The 21,617-nt window shown below is 40.1% G+C and overlaps 1 protein-coding gene across 3 annotated transcripts in view; it reads right to left on the minus strand.

The window, feature by feature from the left end:
- ITGA8 (integrin subunit alpha 8) overlaps positions 1 to 21,617 on the minus strand; it is a 205,969-nt gene that overhangs the window by 121,702 nt on the left and 62,650 nt on the right. For all 3 annotated transcript variants that reach the window (NM_001291494.2, NM_003638.3, XM_011519752.3), the window contains 3 exons: positions 19,699 to 19,751; positions 11,191 to 11,396; positions 8,375 to 8,566 (listed from right to left, as the gene is read on the minus strand). In NM_001291494.2, coding sequence (NP_001278423.1) covers positions 8,375 to 8,566; positions 11,191 to 11,396; positions 19,699 to 19,751 — 451 coding nt within the window. The remainder of the gene's footprint in view (positions 1 to 8,374; positions 8,567 to 11,190; positions 11,397 to 19,698; positions 19,752 to 21,617) is intronic.

Genomic DNA, 21,617 nt, shown 5'->3' on the forward strand with positions numbered 1-21,617 from the left:
ATTTAATATTCTAATTTCTAATGTGTTTATCATGAAACTATGAATATCTTAGTCAATAAAAACATAATGCTTGGCTTTTCACACAAAACTTGAGTAGCAGTTTGAGAAGTAAAAATAAACTTTGACTATAATGTTTGAACCTAGTTCAACTGAACTTCAAATTAACAATTTCAAGGAGCTTAAAGTTTAATTGAAATGCAGTATTCCCTTTGGATAAAGCCTCCTTCCATGCGCAGGTTCTGTGTTACTTGTTTGCTTATACTACACACACACACACACACACACACACACACACACACACAGAGCACTCATTGAAAAGATAATGGGTTATTTTATTTCATTGAGTGTAATTGTCTGAAATGGCTTCATGATATAATTATATAGTAGGGGCCCGGATGAGACAATGATAGTCTTGGCCTTCTGCCCATGTTTTCCTCCAGTTTTTCTTGCCTGTAGGATTTCTGCCCCTCAACAAAATCTGTACCGCCCCTCCTCCACCTTCCAATGCCTGAGCTATGCATTTAACAGATGGTATTGTTATACAATCACGTTTAATGGGATTAGAGGAGATCACTGGATTTCAAGATTCCTGACTATCACGGCTGTTTCTCCTCTAAAATGCTTTCACTCAATTAATGTATGCAAGACACTCCTCTGGTCAATCCTACTTTCCCAATGAACCCCAACATACAGACCTGAACACATCTACATTTTGAATCAGAAAATGAATTTTGATGCTAGAAATGAAAGTACTTATGACTCTATGTAGTGTGTGTGCCAGTGACAATATTTGTTGTAAAAAGCCTAAAAACGTATTGGGTGGTTGAGGTGGATGTTAGGAAAATTATTCCACACATTATTTCTGCAATCAAATCTGTATATTATATAACAAAATCCCCCAATCTGTCCATGAGACTATCCTTTTCTTGGGTACACTGCATTCAAATCTGAGTCATCTTTTACACCCACCTCTTCCTTACCTCCTGCCACCTCCTCTCCCTTCCATCACTGCTAGTTGTTACCAAGCCTTGTCTATTTTTCATTTACACTGTTGTGTTAGTTCCTTCCTTTCAATTTCCACTGTCATTACCATACTTCAGGCCAAATTTAAATGAATTTAAATATTTTTAAATGGCTAAGGGGCAGCGAGGGAGCAGCGTGTTCCTTTTCTGGTAACCAGTAAGGCACAATAGTGAAAAATGAAAGAGGTCGGCCACGGTGGCTCACACCTGTAATACCAGCACTTTGGAAGGTCAAGGCGGGTGGATCACTTGAGGTCAGCAGTTCGAGACCAGCCTGGCCAACATGGTGAAACCCCATCTCTATGAAAAATACAAAAATTAGCTGGGCGTGGTGGCACACGCCCATAATCCCAGTTACTTGGGAGTCTGAGGCAGGAGAATCCCTTGAACCTGGGCGGCGGAGTTTGCAGTGATCCGAGATTGTGACGCTGCACTCCAACCTGGGCGATAGAGTGAGACTCTGTCTCTAAATCAGATTTTAAACAGAGGCTGTCCCTCTCCAGCATCCTAGAATGCAGTTTTTCAAAATCTTATGTGGCTCCACATGACTGTCAGGTGAAGTAGCTCATATTCTGTTCATGATCAGCAAATTGGTTTCCTTTTCTATTCTGAGCCATTTGACAGCATTTTGTAAAAATCCTCTCCCGCCCTAGAAAGTGCAGGCACACACAACCCAGTGAAGTAGGTATTATCAGCCCCATCATACCAGATAAAGAAATAAAAGCTGAAAGTAAATCACTGTTCAATTGTTACATTAATAGTATTCAATGGGAATCTGAACTCAGGTAATCCGATTTTCCTTCCCCTGTTCTCACAGACTCTTTAAATTTTTTTTTTTTTTTTTTGTTTTTGAGACAGGGTCTCACTCCTGTTGTCCAGGCTGGAGTGCAGTGGTGAGATCTTAGCTCACTATAGCCTAGACTTCCCAGGCTCAGATGATTCTCCCACTTCAGACTCCCAAGTAGCTGGAACTGCAGGCATACTGCAGCATGCCTGGCCAATTTTTTGTATTTTTAGTAGAGAAAGAGGTTTGCACATTTCCTAGGTTGGTTTCAAACTCCTGCCCTGGCCTGCCAAAGTATTGGGATTACAGGCATGAGCTACCGTGCCCATCGGCTAACTTTAAAAGTTTTTTTTTTTTTAAATTGGCTTGATGTTTTCCAAAAAGAAGTGAGGTGTCATCCAATCCTACCCTATAAACTCTGTGTACATACATATATAGTACATATAAAAAATACATACATAGATGTTTGAGTATATATATCTGTGAATGAGAGAGATTCCACGATAATATTCTACAATAAGCACTGTATTTACCTTCTATGCAGTGGCTGGCATGCTTTGGGCTCTTAATTATTAGCACTAATAATTAGTATAATTGAAAAAACATTACCAACATAACAGACTCTATGCCTGCACTTTGCTAACATTCCTTCCTCCAAAGACTAAAAAACTAGTCCTGATTATATACAAAACATCTGTAGCATGCAGAACAGATCGTTTGACAATGAATAAATATAAACCAAACCACCTCTTATATGTCTGTGTTTTCGGTTATTTGAGGTGCCGTGTTAATTTATTTTGAGTCAGTTTGGAAGATGAAACAGCTATAATGCACAAAAAGTACACATAAAACATCACAATCAGCCCTCCTCTGTCTGTGAAAGGCAGCCAGGTTGTGTTAAGAATACGTAAGAGTGTTTGCTACTATCTATGATTGGGGCAATGTGTATGCCCTGCCATTATTAAAGGTAGATTTCTTAATAGGCTGCACAGAAAAGGGTTTACATCAGACAGTGAAAACCAGGGGAAGCCAACACTGCCCACTCTTTTAGACAGAGCTGCTAAGCATTTTGTCACCTGAAATGAGGAGAAAGCGTTTATCTCAAGAATGGGAAAACCAACCCCATCATAACCCCATCAGAAAGCATTGCTGTTGATAAGTGTGGCTTCTCAGGGGTGTTCCATTCCCTAATCATGCCAAGTAGTTTGACTTGTTTCCATTTAGCATTTTAAATGTTTGTTTTTGCATTTGTTTTCTCATAAATTCTGCAGGTAACCAGGTAAAGTGACAAATTTTGGAATTTTGTTTCTGATCTACTTAGAATGGAGAATTTGAAACAGGGCAGCTGAACGCCTGTATGTCTGTGAGTAAATTTTAAAAGGATCCTGGGCACAGTGGCTCATGTCTGTAATCCCAACTTCTTGGGAGCCTGAGGCGGGAGGATCGCTTGAGGCCAGGAGTTTGAAACCAGCCTGGGCAACATAGTGAGACCCTGTCTCTACAAAAAAAATCAAAAAATTAGCCAGGTATGGTGGCCTGCTCCTGTGGTCCCAGCCACTTAGGAGGCTGAGGTAAGAGGATCGCTAGAGCCCAGGAGTTTGAGGCTGCAGTGAGCTATGATTTGTGCCACTGCACTCCAGCCTGGGTGACAGCACAAGTTCCTATCTCTTAAAAAAAAAAAAAAGTTGCCCCTGCCCCTTCCTGAGTGGGATGTGCCCAAGCATCACCATGGCAGGAACCACACAGAGGCAATGTTGGAGAGAACAGCGGCTGGTGGGTTTGACACCCTTGTAAAGAATAAATGAAATGCTAGGGCTTAGCAAACCAGTTCTTGGCAAAAGAGAAAAGGCGCATCTGACTCCTGTAGACCTGGAAGTGAGCCGCCAAGAATCTAGGGTGGTTTTGCTCAAAGTGGGGTGCTGCGTAAAGGCACAGATCTCTCATCCCCATCTCAGAGTCAGTCATCACAGTATCTGAAGGGGTGCTGTGCATTCAGCTTTATTAACAAGCCCTACAGATAACATGCATGCACACTGAGTCTCAGAGCCTCAGTGGAAAAGCTCAGCACTCTACAGCTCATTGCATGGTGTGGTGTGAAGGCCAGCAGTAAGGGCCGCACCTTAAGTGAGGAATCTCACCCCACCCGCTTGATCTCTGCATCAGGATCTGCAATTGATAAACACACCCAGGTGATCTGTTTGCACAGTCAGCAGGGAAACACTGCTCTAGAGGACTCATTCCCAAAGTACTGCACACCAGAATCACCAGGGTCACTTAAACATGTCACTATAGTCTGTGCTCCAGCCCAGAGTGGCTAATTTAATTGGTTTGGAGGGTGGCCTGAACATTCGGATTTTTTAAAGCTTTCCACGTGATTTTAATATGCAACCAAGGTTGCGAACCCCTGTTTATAAAGGATGATGAGATAGATTTCAGAGGGAGGAAGTCAATTTGTTGAATAGATTGTGAAGCTCAGAAGGCACAGTAATCTGTGTTGTGCAAACCCTTATCAACTCCATTGGGGATGGCAGCATGTTCAAGAGGCTGAAAAACAGCCAGCAAGTGAGACATGAGGTTTCATTGAGGACCTACGTACAGGGCAGAGAGTCCGGGGGTAGAGGGCTGGGCAAGAGAACTGCAACCGCTTGCAAAAGGCATGCAGTTTATAAAGCATCTTCACTTAGTACTCTCCCACTGACAACCTCCACCTGGCAACCTTCATTTAATCCAAAAACAAAGGGCCTCAATCCCCTCTACGGCCCGTGTTCCACGGGACCGACCTGGGTGTCAGGTCTTCCTCATAGACAAGGAATGGATCTCTGGGCTGGCCACTCCCAGATTCCGTAGCTCAGATTTCCCAGCCACATTGGGGTGTGTGTGCCACCCAGGGTCATTTTGGGGTATGCTGATGTTATCGCTCTCAGGTGTATTTACTTCATAATTTGAAAGGCAAAGTGCTTTTGATTTGAAAAAGCAGGACCCCAGAGTGAAAGAAATTGTTTATCTTTTTAAGTTCCAAAAAGCACTGGTTTGGAAAAATCACAAAACAAGTCATGGAGGCCTAGAACGTAGCATTTACTGACTGAACTATAGGGTTTAGAAAGCATGCCATCCAACTACCTTTAGGGGAAAGAGGGCTTTTGTTACTTCCCAGGCAAAACATCACAAGACTGCAGCTCAATCAGGGGCTGGAGCAATGAGATGCCTGGGTGGAAACTGGCAACAGCTAAGGAAAATCTAGGTAGATAAGCCTGAGGGCAATCACAGAAACCTGAATACCCAGCCTGTGCGTGTCTGAGTCCTAACAGTGGCTCAGAAGCATTTGCTAAAAGGGGACTGAAAGAGGCTAACAGAGGACGAAGAGGGCCCAGGACACAGGGAAATTTTGAGCAGAGGTCACTACACAGACAATGGAACGAGCCACAGAAGCTTGAGCAATGCCCCAAAGGCCACAAGGGACTGAGCTACCCTTTAGTCTGAAGCCAATAATAGCAGATGATGGGTGTGAGCCAGATATCTCTTCCCAGTCGCTGGACAACAGGTAAACCCCTTTCTATTTCATTCCTTGGGAGGGTAGCTACACAGGGTGGAGAAAAAGAGTCTTTTTTCTGAGATGGAGTCTCGCCCTGTTGCCCAGGCTGGAGTGCAGTGGCGCGATATCGGCTCACTGCAACCTCTGCCTCCTGGGTTCAAGCAGTTCTCCTGCCTCAGCTGCCTGCGTAGCTGGGACTACAGGTGCATGCTACCACGGCTGGCTGAGGGGTCTTGAATCTGAATAAATACTTACCTAAATAAGACTAAATCTAAACATAGAAGTGATTGCAAGATCATCATTTTCTACCATGGTGGAAATGGAGGCTTTGAAAGCTAAATGGAATTCATTTCTAGAAAAATGAAGAAAGTTACATGTCTGATTCCTGAATTTGGCCTGCAGCTTTCAATCAACTGTAATAAGAGAATCTAGTCGCCTGCCTCTAAGGCAGTTTCTTCTCTGTAGGTCCTGGGATCTTGCTATGAAGTTAAAAAGGCTTCTTTGAATGGCATTCTTTTTGCTAGAGGATGAGGATCAGGGAAAAATGTTATAGAATCATGAATCACAAGATATCCATATTCCTATTTGAGAGACAGAATTGGCGCCAGAACCCAGGTCTACCAAGATGCATGGATGAACTCTGAAAGCCTCAAGACTCTTGAGGGATAAATTCAACCAAGCAGCATTGACGGGCCTGCCTTAGTAAAGAACATTTACTTCAGAGACAAGACGCACAGCACTGACATGTCTGATTATTATAATTTGCATCAGACTCAGCAAAGTTGTTGACTAGCACATGGCCTCAAGTGAATATTTCTGATTAAGGGAAGAAAAAGACATAATTAAGAGGTAATCGGCTGATGTGGTGGCTCACACCTGTAATCCCACCACTTTGGGAGGCTGAGGTGGGCAGATCACGAGGTCAAGAGATTGAGACCATCTTGGCCAACATGGTAAAACCCCATCTCTACTAAAACTACAAAAATGAGCTGAGTGTGGTGGCACACGCCTGTAGTCCCAGCTACTTGGGAGGCTGAGGCAGGAGGACCGCTTGAACCCAGGAGGTGGAAGTTGCAGTGGGCTGAGATCGTGCCACTGCACTCCAGCCTGAGGGCAGAGTAAGACTCCGTCTCAGAAAAAAAAAGGAAAAGAAAAAAAGAGGTAATCAATTACTAACATTGCACAGACTTTAGCTTCCTTTTCCCTTCCTGCTGCTTTTAAATTTTTTCTCCCTGAAGGGAGTATTCCTGGGGAGAAAAGTTGACTCATGCCTCTGTCCTTCCTGGCTCTCATTTGGGACGTGTTTAGCCTTGGAAGGAAGTCAAAGGACTGGCTATGTGATGGATACATCCTCTATTTCCTTTGCCTCATCAAAGGCACAGCCTTTCTGTCAATTTTCCTGGTACTAAGGGTGGGAAGGAGACCTATGACTACCATAATAAATAGCAGTAACTTTCTAATTGTTTACCTAAAATGCAACCCAGGAGTTGAATTTCATTAATCACCCTGACATTTTTGGGGTAGGAATTACATAAGGGACCTAGATTTTTGAATTATTTTAAATTTGGATATATTATGTATACAAACCTCTCCCCAGTAATAACAACTAACCACCATTGATTAGCATAATGTAACCTAAGAAAATAAATTTAACTAGATGTTCTTGAAATTGCCACAGGTAGGAAGCATTAGTATACGATATAATACCAAATCCACTTTGAGCCCACTATGACGTCTCCATTAGTGTCATAAAAGGTTTATGGCAAATTTATAAGAATATGTTGCGGTATCCTTTTTGTCTAATCCCAGAGGAGAGAAGAAAGCCAAAGGCCTGAAATTAATGATGTATATTTAGGCAGTCAGCTTACTGGATGCTGCCCCAAACCAAAAAATAGCTCTACATATGGAAAATTCCCAATCAGGGGAGGGGCTAGTGGAAAGAGACAAGGTTTTTATAAGTAGTTGAAACTGTCATTTAACTATTAATGACTTCTAAGTATTTATTGAAACCATCTTAAACATAAAAGTGAAAATCAAACCCTAAAACCAAGAAGTCTGATGTTCTCTGCTAAAAAACCTGGACAGTGAAATAATCTTTTAAGACAAATCAATGTCTTCATATAGCATGCACAATACATAAATTACCTGTGCCTCATGGCTTTCCATGTGCCTTCAATGTGAATTAGGTAAATCAAGAATAGTTATGGTTCCTATCATGAACCAGTTCTTTTTTTCTCCACTTTAAAATGTTCAGTCTATCTTTGGAAAACCACAAAATATGGCTGGAAGAGATACATATATTTTTTGAGACAGTCTCACTCTGTCGCCCAGGTTAGAGCTCAGTGGCTCGATCTTGGCTCAGTGCAGCCTCCGCCTCCCGGGTTCAGGTGATTCTTGTGCCTCAGCCTCTAGAGTAACTGGGACTACAGGCATGCATCACCATGCCCAGCTAATTTTTGTATTATTAGTAGAGACGGGGTTTTACCATGTTGGCCAGGCTGGTCTCGAACTCCTGACCTCAACTGATCCACCCACCTCGGCCTCCTAAATACTGATGAGATTACAGGCATGAGCCACCATGATGGGCCAAGCTGGAAAATATTTATGCTTTAAAAACATGAGCTTCATGACAGACACGTTGAGGTTCATGCTATAATAGGAGCTATGAGCTCAAAAGGGTTAAAATAATTTGCGCCAGAAAGGATGCAAGCTGTCTATGTCAGTGCAAGCCGCGGTATTGAGGAGTTTCAAATGAAAACTTGGGTTGTGAAGTTGACAAGTTTTATGTACAATGCAGATTGTTAAGCCATTCTGCCTTTCTATCATTGTCTCTTGACAGGAGAAGGAAGCGTGTGTTTGTCTTTCTTCAAGTTCTCATGAAAGTCGCTCTGGAATCGTACATTAAAAAAGCCTGTGGCATGCTTAAGCTTCAGCCTCATCTGTAGAAGAAAACTGCCTTTGCATGATGCATTTTTCAGAAAATGGACTCTATTTCAGGACGTAGACTCTCACGTGGGAAAAGAAAGAAAACCTTACCTGGGTAATCATTCTTGTCTATGTCTGAATCTCCTCTTAAAGTAAAGCCAAATCCGGAAGGGACAGCATGTGAGGCCCACACTCCTTGCAGAACTTGGGAAGGCTTGGTGTTTAAGCCATCTTTGTTCCCATTATAAATGAGCACTTTGCCTCTTTGATCCTTGCCTGCAAAAGGCACTCCGATGGCAATGTCTAAAAACAGACATAAAACATGTTTTATGTGTATATGTATTTAATTCTTCATTTGTTCATTTTAGAGACAGGACCTTACTCTGTCACCCAAGCTGGAGTGCAGTGGTGGGATCATGGCTCACCGCAGCCCCACACTCCCGGACTCAAGTGATCCTCCTGCCTCAACTTCTCTAGGAGCTGGGACTACAGGTGCATACCACCATGTCAGGCTAATATATATATATATATATATATATATATATATATATATATATATATATATATATATATAGAATTTTTTTTTTTTTTTGAGCAATGGGTCCTTGCTTTGTTGCCCAGGATGGTCTGGAATTCCTGGCCTCAAGTGATCACCCCACCTCAGCCTCCCACACTGTTGGGATTAAAGGCATGAGCCACTGTGCTTGGCCATAGAGACGTTTCTTTTTTAAGTACAGAAGAATGGTTCAGAAATAGTTTAGTATACTCAAAAAGCAGTATCGAAACTCTAAAGGGCTTATAATGTTTTCCATGAAAATTCTGTAGTACTGCTGCAATGACAAATTATTTGTTGCCTTTTATCCATCCAACAAATATTTATTAAGAGCCTCCAGGGCCTGGCGCGGTGGCTCACACCTGTAATCCCAGCACTTTGGGAGGCCGAGGCGGGCGGATCATGAGGTCAGGAGATCGAGACCATCCTGGCTAACACAGTAAAACCCCATCTCTACTAAAAATACAAAAAATTAGCCTGGCGTAGTGGCGGGCGCCTGTAATCCCAGCTACTCGGGAGGCTGAGGCAGAGAATTGCTTGAACCTGGGAGGTGGAGGTTGTGGTGAGCAGTGAGTTGAGATCGTGCCACTGCACTCTAGCCTGGGTGACAGACTCTGTCTCAAAAAAAAAAAAAAAAAAAAAAAAAGATGATCTAAAAACTCAGATTTTTGTAGAAAATAAAGATATTGTCTTGTGTCAGGCGAAAAGGAACACTTTCGACACTTTCTTAACTTTCTCTAAGTCACTGCCTTGACTCCCATCCCCTTGTTTACTCTCAGTGAATTTCACATGATTTTACCTACTTTGTATACTCAAGGACACCAAAGCTCAGAGAAGCTAGGACCTCCCTTTATGTCATTTAGAATGCTTCTTTTATCTTTTAAAAATACTATTAAAGGTTTGAGAGAAAAGACAAATAGAAGAAAATATGATTTTAAACGACAGCTCCATAGATAATTTAGCACTATTTATTTTACTTGAGTGATCAGGAATAGAGCAGCTTTACAGAGTAGCAAGTCACTTAAAGGTAAGCTTGTCTTTTAAAAAATTTCCCTGGAACCATAAGCTTTTTACATGTACTTTGTTTTATGATACTTTAAAATTTACTAACCATATGTTGCTGAGAACTTTTTTTCAAAGAATGTGTAAGAGAACAGAAACATTGGCCAAATATACTAATGAATACTAATCTGATGTGAATACTTCCAAGGCTACTTTGTTACAGCAAGTTCCTGTTACTTCCTTGAGTTCAATCAAGAAATTCACTATGCTCGGTTCTTAACTAAAGAACCTGAAGTGCATTTAAGAAAATGCATACATTTTCAGGTCCTGAAAATGTATGCAAACTTTTGTGTGAAGGTGTGTGTTTTTCTGAGGAGAGGGTACTTGGAGGGGTTTCATAAATTCTAACCTAAAGAACTACAAGCCTAACCTACGAGTTTAACACTACTTTGTTGCAAATATTGAAACTAAGGTGAAGCCTACGTGCCAATTAAAATTCAGTATAACCTGTACATAACCCATGTAGGCTGATCAGAAGTCAGGATACTTGCTAATATATCAACATGTATTTATTTGTCTTGACATATAGAAGGTTTCCTAGTTACCTTTAAGTCACCAAATCCAAACATCAATTTTAAAAATAATTCCTGCCTCTACTGAGAGCTATTACAGGATAGCCAACATCAAATGTGAGAAAATTGCTTGGACGTCAGAGCAATGACGATTTTTGTATTAACTTTGGCTTTAAAGTTTTAATTCTTAAAACTGAATAAGAAATATTTCTGCAAGTAAACAGCACTTATAAGTAGAGAAGTTTAAAGTTGAACATTTGAGATGTTATTTTGAAGTTTGCAGAAACCTAAATGTACTTATTTTTATTGTAACCTGGAGTGCCTGTGGCCTTCCAATGTCTCTTAAAATTCATTTAGAGGTTTTCAAAATGTAGTAACACCCTCAAACCATTACCTGGAGCTCTGAAGACTGAGCTCTGAGGTAGTATGGTTTTGACATTGCTTAATGAGGTTTTTCTGATGTTTCTGATAACCGAATGTGTCTTCTACAAGGAGATCAATTATACTAAATTTAGGATTGAAACAAATTATGTTACAGATTTTTCTCTGTGTTGCATTGTAATCTTGTGAGATTTGAAATAAAAATTTTCAGAAAGGTGAGAAGGGAAATTTCCATGTAATATTTATATTAGTCAAAATGTATAAACGTAAAGCTGCCTTGAGATTTGTGATAGTTTATTAAAAATCAGTAATAATAACTGCACCCACACACACCATACTGAATACTTTAAAACAGGCATGGTCTCCTTTATGCAGTGGTGACGACACATAAATGACTTCCACGCTTTGGTTTAAATTACCATTGTATCCATCTTGGTTCAGGTCTCCTAAGTGTGCCATAGCACTACCGAATCTCCCAAACGTCTCGGTGCCAGTGAGGATCTGGGGGTCTCTGAAGAGGAGAGAGCTCACTTGCAAATACAGGTAGATTTGCCCTACTTCTCTGGGGTTGCTCTCAAATTCACGTTCCATAAAGAGAGGTGCCCCAACCAGGACATCATCCAGTCTGTAAGGAACAAAGAAAGCAGCTCAGCACGCTAGCAGAGAGTAGAGTCACTTTGGGTTATTTGTAATCAACTAGACTAGTAAATTTCCATTGGTATTTTTCCTTTTCTGAGGGTTATTTTACAATCATCAGATTGCTTTCGCTGCTTTGTTATATCTATGGAATCGAATGCTGTAAGAAAATAAGAGCTGTTAAATTATCACACTGAACATTTTAGCTATGTTAAAAATGCTACTTTAAGGAAACCACAGATATTTTACCATTTTCAGCTTCTTAGTGCATTTCCAGAAACTGTACTTGCACAAAGCAAACATATCAAGAAAGAACAAAATAGCTTTTTGTAAAAATAGATTAGAGTTTGTCTGCAATTAATATGACTATACATTTAAATTATTCAGTTTTTTTTTTTTTTTTTTTTTTTTGAGACGGAGTCTCGCTCTGTCGCCCAGGCCGGACTGCGGACTGCAGTGGCGCAATCTCGGCTCACTGCAAGCTCCGCTTCCCGGGTTCACGCCATTCTCCTGCCTCAGCCTCCCGAGTAGCTGGGACTACAGGCGCCCGCCACCGCGCCCGGCTAATTTTTTGTATTTTTAGTAGAGACGGGGTTTCACCTTGTTAGCCAGGATGGTCTCGATCTCCTGACCTCATGATCCACCCGCCTCGGCCTCCCAAAGTGCTGGGATTACAGGCGTGAGCCACCGCGCCCGGCCAATTATTCAGTTTTTAATGCAGTAATGTTTAAAATCAATTTTGTCCTTCCCTTTCCTTTTGTTAGCTCAATTTAAATAAAACAGAGATTAGAGAGGTATATCAAGCTGGCTAGAAAGGTAGCAAACAACTTTTCAGCCCAAATAAAAATTTGAATTCTTTGGATACATAGATTATAGCAAAAAACTAATATGTAATTTTTAAGGTTAAAAAATTTTCAAGAGATATTCAAGCAAATTATTTAGAGATAAAGATATAACCACCTGGAGAAAAAATAAAAAAGTGGTTACAGGTATTTCCTTCACAGAGCCAGATGGGCAGGAAGAGGACTAGAATGGGAAACTTCACTATAAGCCTTCTAAGTGATTTGATTTTTTAAAAAGGTATAATGTATAATTTCTGTTTTAAAATTTTACAAGTCACACCAACCAAAAATATATAATTTGATCTAAATTAATGGCCTCTATTAAAGTTTGTCTGCAGATACAGTGTCTTGGCAAATGCAATAATCTCAAGAGTGACCTGGGGCAGGAACATATATTTGCATTTGACTTTTATGCCTATGTAGATTAGGCAATATGCTGAAGTTTGCCAAGCAAACCGATTAAAATATTATTAATATAATTGAGTTATAATATTCATGTATATGAATGATATATAATAATGTATATTAATACATTAATGTATGAAATATATAAATTGAGTATATTATAAATATAAAGGTCAAGAAACAATACTATATTAATATACAATATATTAATATACAAAAATTAAGATATATCAATAACAATAACATAAAATCAATAATATGTATAAAAATATATCTTACTAACAGATTCCATATCAAGTGGCTCATACACATCTTTGATATAGTTTATATCAAAAGTCAGGGATGAGGTGGGAACAGTTACTGAGAACAAGAAACTTTCTTCAAGATCTGAGCAGTCTACAAGACACTCCAACATCACTCTAACCTACCCTCTCTCCAATTTCTGGCCTGCCTTGTGGTGTTTATCTATTGTCTTCAGTCTGAATCAAAAGATATCCTGTGTACTTCCTATGTTTAAGGTACTTTGATAAGTGGCTTTAATGCAATGATGACTATTAGGTCAACCAATTCATTCCCTAATAACTTACAAATGAGGTTAAATGACTACTCATATTACTATAAACATGGCAGATGGGGAAAAATAATATGAGACAATGAAATTAACGCTGGGTATCCTGGACCAGGGAGAGGCTGGGTGCTTGGAGGGAACTAAGGAAGGTTCCATGGAGGAGATGGCATTAGACCTGGGTGGGATCCCAAGGTGGGCTCTCCAGGTGTAGGTGTTGTGAGCCAAACCAAGTGTCCCTGAGTAGAGTGAGGGTAGAGTGAGTGTCTAGACATGCTTGGTGCTAGGGGCATTCCAACTAATTTATTGTAAAAGTAAAATGTACAAAGAATTCTTAAAAATTAACCCCATGAGGAAAAAATATGTAACAATAACATATATCATTATTATATATTATATACTATATATTGTTACAATCAATATTACATGTACATGATATACAATAAGAAAATAAGCCAATTAAAAATTGGGCAAGGCCAGTCACAGTGGCTCATGCCTGTGATCCCAGCACTTTGGGAGGCCGAGGTGGTCAGATCATGAGGTCAGGAGTTCGAGACCAGCCTGGCCAATATGGTGAAACGCCTGTCTCTACTAAAAATACAAAAATTAGCTGGGCATGGTGGTGGGTGACTGTACCCAGTGACTCTGGAGGCTGAGGCAGGAGAATCGCTTGAACCCGGGAGGCAGAGGTTGCAGTGGGCCGAGATCGCACCACTAGATGGCAGAGTGAGACTCCGTCTCAAAAAAAAAAAAAAAAAATTGGGCAAAGATTTGAATGGACACCTCATCAAAAAAGATAGATGGCAAGCAAGCTTATCAGAAGACACTCAATATAATATGTCGTTAGGAATTGCAAATTAAAACCACAATGAGATACCACTACACATCTCTTAGAATGGCTAAAATCCAAAATGCTGATGGTACCAAACATTGGCAAGGATGTAGAACAACTCTAATTAATTGCTAATGGGAATACAAAATGATACAGCCATTTTGGAAGACAGTCTAGCAGTTTCTTACAATGCTAAACATAGGCTTACCACACAATCACAAAATTACACTCCTTGGCAGTTACTCAAATGCATTTAAAACAGATATACATACAAAAATATGCACAAAAATGTGCATAGAATAATTGCCCAAACTTGGAAGCAACCAAGATACTCTTCAATAGGTGACTGGATAAGCAAATCATGGTACATCATATAATAATATTCAGCAATGAAAAGAAATGGGCTATCAAGCCATCAAAAGACATGGAGGAACCTCAAATATACATTGCTCAGTTAAAGAAGCCAATCTGAAAAGGCTACCTGCTGTATGATTCCAACTGCATGACACTCTGGAAAAGACACAACTCTGAAGGCAGCAAAAAAAATCACACACCTGGGTTCATGTTTTAGGCAACCTAACAGTGTGCATAAGTTACTATGCTTTTAATGTGTCCCTCAAATTTCATGTATTAGACAATTAATCTTCAGATGCATATATTAATGGCATTTGGAGGTAAAACTTTTAGTAGGTAATTAGGATTAGATAAGGCCATCAAGGTGGAGCCCCAAAATGGGACTTGTGGATTTATAAGAAGAGGAATGGAATACAGAGCTGGAATGTTCTTGCCCCCCTCAACATGTGATGCCTGGCACCACCTCAGGACTTTGCAGAGGGTCCCCACCAGCAAGAAGGCCCTCATCAGATGCGGCCCCTTGACCTTGGACTTCCAGCCTCCAGAAGTATAAGAAATAAATTTCTTTTCTTTGCAAATCATCCAGTCTCCGGTATTCAATTATAGCAACAAAAAACAGGCTAAGCCATGTATTGCTTTAACATAGAAACTTTTCTGTTTCTTTTTTTTTCCCAGTAGTACACTTCCATGCTAATGCTCATGACTAATATTCAGAATTTAGTTATTTATTAAAAGAATACAGATTAGTGGACTATATAGTAAATATCAAATCAACCTAATTGATAGGCAAGAGCTAACATCACTTCAATTACATTACAGAAATTAATCTACAACCTCTTTATGGTTTAATTTTTTAGAGTTTTCTACTAATTGAATCATAATGATATATCCTGTATGAATGAACATACTTGGGCTAAATCTAGCATAAAAATATAGCTCCCTAAGCTGTTTCCTTTCAATTGGATTTTTCTGTAAATTATTCTCAAGTTAACCACTAAGAATCTGTTTAAATTTGGCTCCTTTTGGTCCTGCAGAGGTTAGAAACAATGGTAGTGCAGAAAGTATCCAATGGATTAAATTGTAATTCAGTGAATTTCTGAAGTAGTATAACTACTATAACACTCAAAAGCCGTAAGAAAAAAAAAACATATTTGCTTGTTTAGGCACGAGATGAAAAATACCATCTCCATTTGTTGTTAACAGGTTTGTTCAGAAATTCCTAACAAAGCTTACATTGACGGAGTTTGTAGTACTGGAAGTCTTGAGATAACGAAACTGAAGATAATTTCCCCAGCTTGTTTATATTTTCAAAACTGTCACAGGCTTGACAGTATTAACCATCAACCAGCATGCACACAACTGTTAAGTCTAAATGTTTGCAGTCCACTCAATCGTACTTGGAGATTTTTCTTAACAGAAAAATATCAGGGAAAATTTCCACCAGTTAACTTATCTGGTCACTTATTGACAGTTTTTTTTTTTTCGTGATGTTGAGATTTTGGAGCTCTTTTAGGGACCTTGTTTTTGTTGCCTACTTTTCAAAGAATACATGTTTTCCAACAATGTCTACTAGATAGCCTTGTGTACAAATGTACTTAACTATCTCCAGCTTGGGGAAAGGAGAGTCTGGTTCAAGCCCATAAATGTGTGCGTGCAGGGAAGTCCTCACTTCTGAACCATGAGCAATGACCTAGCCAAGTGATTTTTTAAACCCTATGAAATATATTATATATATCACCATTGTTGTAATTTCAGACTTCACTTGAGTTGTCTATCTGGCATCTTTCTTTGGCCAATCTCAATTACTTCCAGAGCATAGTTATATATAATAGGACCCTGAATTTACATAGCATCTAAGTAATTAAAAACAGCAAGTGATATACTGAGAATCTGTGGGCACCTTATCTTTATGAACGGCATTAGTAAATTAATGGAAATATCCTTCAATGCAGTCTAAAGAATTCAGAAAATACTACGTAATAAAAAAATAGTATGCATAGCAATTTTTAAGAACTTCAAGAAAGAAGAAATTATTACTTTATAACAGTTCTGTGTTTGTTACTACCATGTTGTTTCGATTAACAGGAAGCCAATGAGGTCCTTTTCTCACAATTTGTTTTTTCCTTAACATGACAAATAAAAAGTACTATAAACATTCTCACAAAACTTTGCTATAGACTAGAATGCGCATGTTTCCAAGAAGGACGGTGCCCTGCAGGGCATAAGGCGAAGCTTGGGCAAAGTCCTGAGGATTCAAAACAGGAGTGGCCTGTGGAAGAGAACACATGGAATGAATCCGTGCAGCAGGGGAAGAGCCCCTGGTGCTTGTTGTGTGGCCGTCAGTGGGAAGAAATGTGTCTGTGCATATCTGAAAGGCCACAGTGGGATTTTTTTTTTTTTTTCCCTGATGTTGAGATTTTGGAGCTTTTTAAGAAACCTTGTTTTTGTAAGCGTTATGAAAACTGGACGGCATGCTATGTCTGGCCTTCAAGTTCTTTAGCTATTTTCTTTCCAAATGACTAAAAGGCTTTGATTACAATTACAGTCCACCTAAGTTGGAAATCTTGAATGACCGTCCTAATAGCTACTTTATTTTTACAACTTAGATAACTGAAGATGAAGGCAATTTATTTTTAAATTAACTGCTTTCAGGATAAGATTGACATTCAACTATAACTTCGAAATACATGCAGAGAGCAAGCACTGCAATCTCCCTCCACTGCTATTGCTCATACAGAGTCATTCCACTGCCCTCCAAGCCACTGTCCTGCCTCCCCTGGTGCATGGTAGTAGGGTTCCAGAAGGCTCTGTGACCATCTAGAGCTGGTAGACAGAGCACAGCTGATAACAGCGAAGCCTGAGCTGGTACTGCTCACCTGGAATCCCCATGGCTCACAGGACGTTGTAGCCTTCTTGGAAATGGACTTGTTCTAGTCCATGGCAGAGTTTGTGTTGCACTGTGTGTGGCAGTTTGGAGTAAATGCAGTGACCTGCACACCTTCATGATGCAGCTCCCCAGGGTTCACGCTCCACAGCTCTCTGCTGGTTCTTGAATATGCCTGGAGCTCCCACCTCAGGGAATACGCACCTTTTGCTCTTCCACAGGGAACACTCCTTCCTCCCTCCCTCCCTCTTAGATCACCATGGCTGGTCCTCACCTCCCTTAGGTGTTTCCTTAGCTGGACTCTTAACCCTGAGACCTTCATGATCTACCCAGTTGGGGATTGTATCCCTTCAAATACTCCCTATCTCTCCTCTCTATTTTAACAAGTTTAATTAATAGACTTTTTTTTTAGAGCAGTTTTAGATTGTTTAGATTCAAAGCAAATTTGAGCAGAAAGTACAGAGTTCTCCCATTACCCTCTCCCTAACTTGCAACCTTCCACACCGTCACATCAGAGGGGCACGTTCATTCCAATCAATAAGCCTACATTCATACGTCATTATCAACCAAAGGCCATGGTTTACATTGAATTCACACTTGGTATCAAACCTTCTATGGGTTTTAACAAATATATAAGGACACATATCCACTATTACTGTATCATGCAGAGTCATTTCACTGCCCTAAAAATCCTGTTCTTCACCTGTTCATAACTCCCTCCATCAGAACCCCTGGGAAACACTGCCTTGTTCCTGATGCCATAGTGGTGCCTCTTCCAGAATGTCATAGAATTAGAATCATATAGCATGTAGATCTTTCAGACTGGCATCTTTCACTTAGCAATATGCAGTTAAAGTTCCTTTGTGTGTTTTTTCTTTTCTTTTTTCTTTTTTTTTTTTTTCTTGTTTGAGACAGAGTCTCGCTCTGTTGCCCAGGCTGGAGTGCAGTGGTGCAATCACGGCTCACTGCAACCTCTGCCTCCTGGGTTCAAGGGATTATCCTGCCTCAGCCTCTCAAGTAGCTGGGATTACAGGCACCCACCACCATGCCCGGCTAATTTTTTGTATTTTTAGTAGAGACATGGTTTCACCACATTGGTCAGGCTGGCCTCGACCTCCTGACCTCAGGTGATCCACCCGCCTCAGCCTCCCAAAGTGCTGGGATTACAGGCGTGAGCTACCGCACCCGGCCCCTCTGTGTGTTTTCATGGCCTGATAGCTCATTTCTTTTTTAGCACTGAATAAAACTGAATTATCAGGATGTACCAGAATTTGTTTACATATTCATCTACTTGGTTGCTTTCGGTCCTTTTGTTTTCGTTGTCTCCACAGTACTTATAACCATCTAACATACTCTTTACTCATTTAATTTTTGTCTGTAGCAGCAACCTTCCTAACTCTAGTATAATCTTCATGAAGTTATGGATTTCTCTGCACCTAGAACAGTGCCTGTTAGTGCACAGTAGATGTTTGAGAAGTTTATGTTCAATGAAAGAATAATAGAAAGATATTTCCCAGCAGGTACAAAAGGTATGAAATTTATCTCCAGTCAAATGCCATGATACAATTAACACAAAGTCCATTGACAGCTATATAAAGGTCACATAAAATATCTAGCAAAAGTATAGCTAAAGTGCTTAGCCCGTTGCCTAGAACAAAGTAAGTATTCTTCAGATATTTGCTTTCTGTGAAAATGTGAGATCCCTGAGAGACCACATCTGTCTTATTCACCTGTGTATTCTGGGCACCAAGAACAAAGCCTGGAACGTGGTGTGTGATCCAATAATATTTTTGGGTGGATAATTGATACATCTCAATCTAATGGTTTTTAATTTAATGATTCATTAATTTACCTGTCAGGTCCTTTTAGTGAATCAAAGAAGTGTTTAATCATAATTTATTTTTGAAGTAATGACTTAAGCACAACCAAAATTCACCGTGCTGTTTGGTCCATGTTCAACTGTAATTTACTACTGTAATCTGAAAAATAACAATTTCGTCTTCTCCATGGCTGTTACATTTTTAAAGCAACTTAAAAATCCGTTTATGTGCAAATGTTTTGTGAATGTATCACATGCTAGGGGAAAATTCTAGGAGTGAAGAGAGATAGATGAATGTTCTCAATGGCTATGAATTTTGAATGGCTGAAGACTATAAAATTAAAAATAAAACGAAATAAAATAGTCCTCCTCTAGAAGCAGCAGATGTGGAAAATCTCCTTAAGGACAAAATCAGATGACAGAGAATTATTTAATAGATGCATCTTCTTGTCTTGAACCAAAAAAGTTGAGAACAAGAGAGCCTCTATCTTGTTGAGGCAATAAGGAAGGGTGTATTTTGTGAAGGAAAAACATAACATCTTTATGGATGAATGTAATATATTGTATATGAGAGAGGTCTATAAACTTACCCATCACTGTTAACATCTGATACGACAACGGTATATCCAAAATAAGATGCCATCTGCAAAGGAAAATCAGGAGATGACATTTTGTGTCCAAAAAGTCATTTTTGTAGTCATGTCTCTATTATTCCTGAAAGATTCATCTCATTGTGGTACATTTTTGCATTGAAATTCATAGATTCTTCGAAGTGGCCAGGGTCTTTTTGCCTCATTTAGTCTAACCCCTGACCCAGTGAATAATTTTCCCCATAATAACCCTGACATCTGCTTGGACATCCTCTGGGGATGTTCAACAATCAGCCCATTTAATCTGTGGACACAGCTATCGGAATGTTCACTGCTAAATCTGGCTCTTCCATAACTTCTAGCACTTAATCCCACCAAGTTCTGCAATCTTGAATCTCACAGAAGGAATCTAATTCCAATTCCATATGATGTTGTATGAAAATATTTTCAGGCTGGGTGTGGTGGCTTATGTCTATAATCCCAGCATTCTGGGAGGCCCAGGCAAGAGGGTCACTTGAGTCCAGGGGTTCAAGACCAACCCTGGCAATATGGTGAGACCTCATCCCTACAAAAAATAAAACAGAATTAGCAGGGCATGGTGGCACGTGTAGTCCCAGCTAACTGTGGGGCTGAAGTGGGAGGATCGCCTGAGCCTGGGGAGGTCAAGGCTGCAGTGATCTGAGACTACACAACTGCACTCCAGCCTGGGTGACAGAGAGAGACCCTGTCTCAAAAGACAATATTGTCACTTGGTTCACCATCCAAACTCTCTGTGTTAGAGATATGACATGTGGTACCAAAACACAGATGACACTTGTGAGTGCGCTGATGACAAGAGAAGAGTTAGGTAAGATTTACGCTTCCTGCTTCAGAGGAAGCATAAAAAGTTTTCATGTCGGGGGAACCCACATCTCAGTATCAATTTGTATCGTGCTCATAGTCAACAAAAGCTCCTAAATCTTTTCCATGAGTGTACACAGTGTACCATAGTCTCCCCACTTTTTTATTTATTTATTTATTTATTTTTTGAGATGAAGTCTCGCTCTGTTGCCCAGGCTGGAGTGCAGTGGTGTGATCTTGGCTCACTGCAACCTCCACCTCCTGGATTCAGGCAATTCTCCTGCCTCAGCCTCCTGAGTAACTGGGATTACAGGTACCTGCCACCATGCCCAGCTAATTTTTCTATTTTTAGTAGAGATGAGGTTTCACCATGTTGTCCAGGCTGGTCTTGAATTCCTGACCTCAGGTGATCCACCCACTCGGCCTCCCAAAGTGCTGGGATTACAGGTGTGATCCCCCGCACCTGGCCTCTCCCCATTTTATCGCTGCAGTTTTTCTTTTTAAACCTATGTTTTTGGATTTATAATCTTTTCAGGATTTATGCTCTCACCAGATTTGACCCATAGTTTCAGGTTGCCAGTTTGCTTCCATAGTGTGCCATGCAATGTTTGAAGTGACGTAGCTTCCATCGTGTCCTCATTTAATGAACATGCAATCCCTTAGAAAGCACACGCCCCAGGAGGCAGAGACTTTGGTCTGTTTTGTTTGCTGTTCTATCTGAACTTTCTGAGCAGTGTCTGGACCAAAGTAGGTGCCAGGTGCCAAATGCTCTTTGCAGAGAAAATGAATACATGAGTTAACAAGTGGCATGTAACAACTCAATTCTCACACCTCTTTTCTCTGTTCCAAACATAGATAGTGAAATTCTTTCTCTTGATGTGGTGGTGTGTGGCCTTTACTCAGAGGAATTTCATCATTTATGAAATTTCATCATTTATCACCTTCTGAGGTTCAGGATTACAGAACTAGGTGGTATTGAGGAGAGGAAGTTATAGAAAGACTAAATTTAGCAATGTTTAAAAAGTTTCTAATGATGAAAAGTAAACAGATCTGAGCAAAGGAGAAGCATTGCTAGATTC

This window comes from Homo sapiens, chromosome 10 (assembly GCF_000001405.40).
Source record: "Homo sapiens chromosome 10, GRCh38.p14 Primary Assembly".
NCBI lineage: Eukaryota > Metazoa > Chordata > Mammalia > Primates > Hominidae > Homo > Homo sapiens.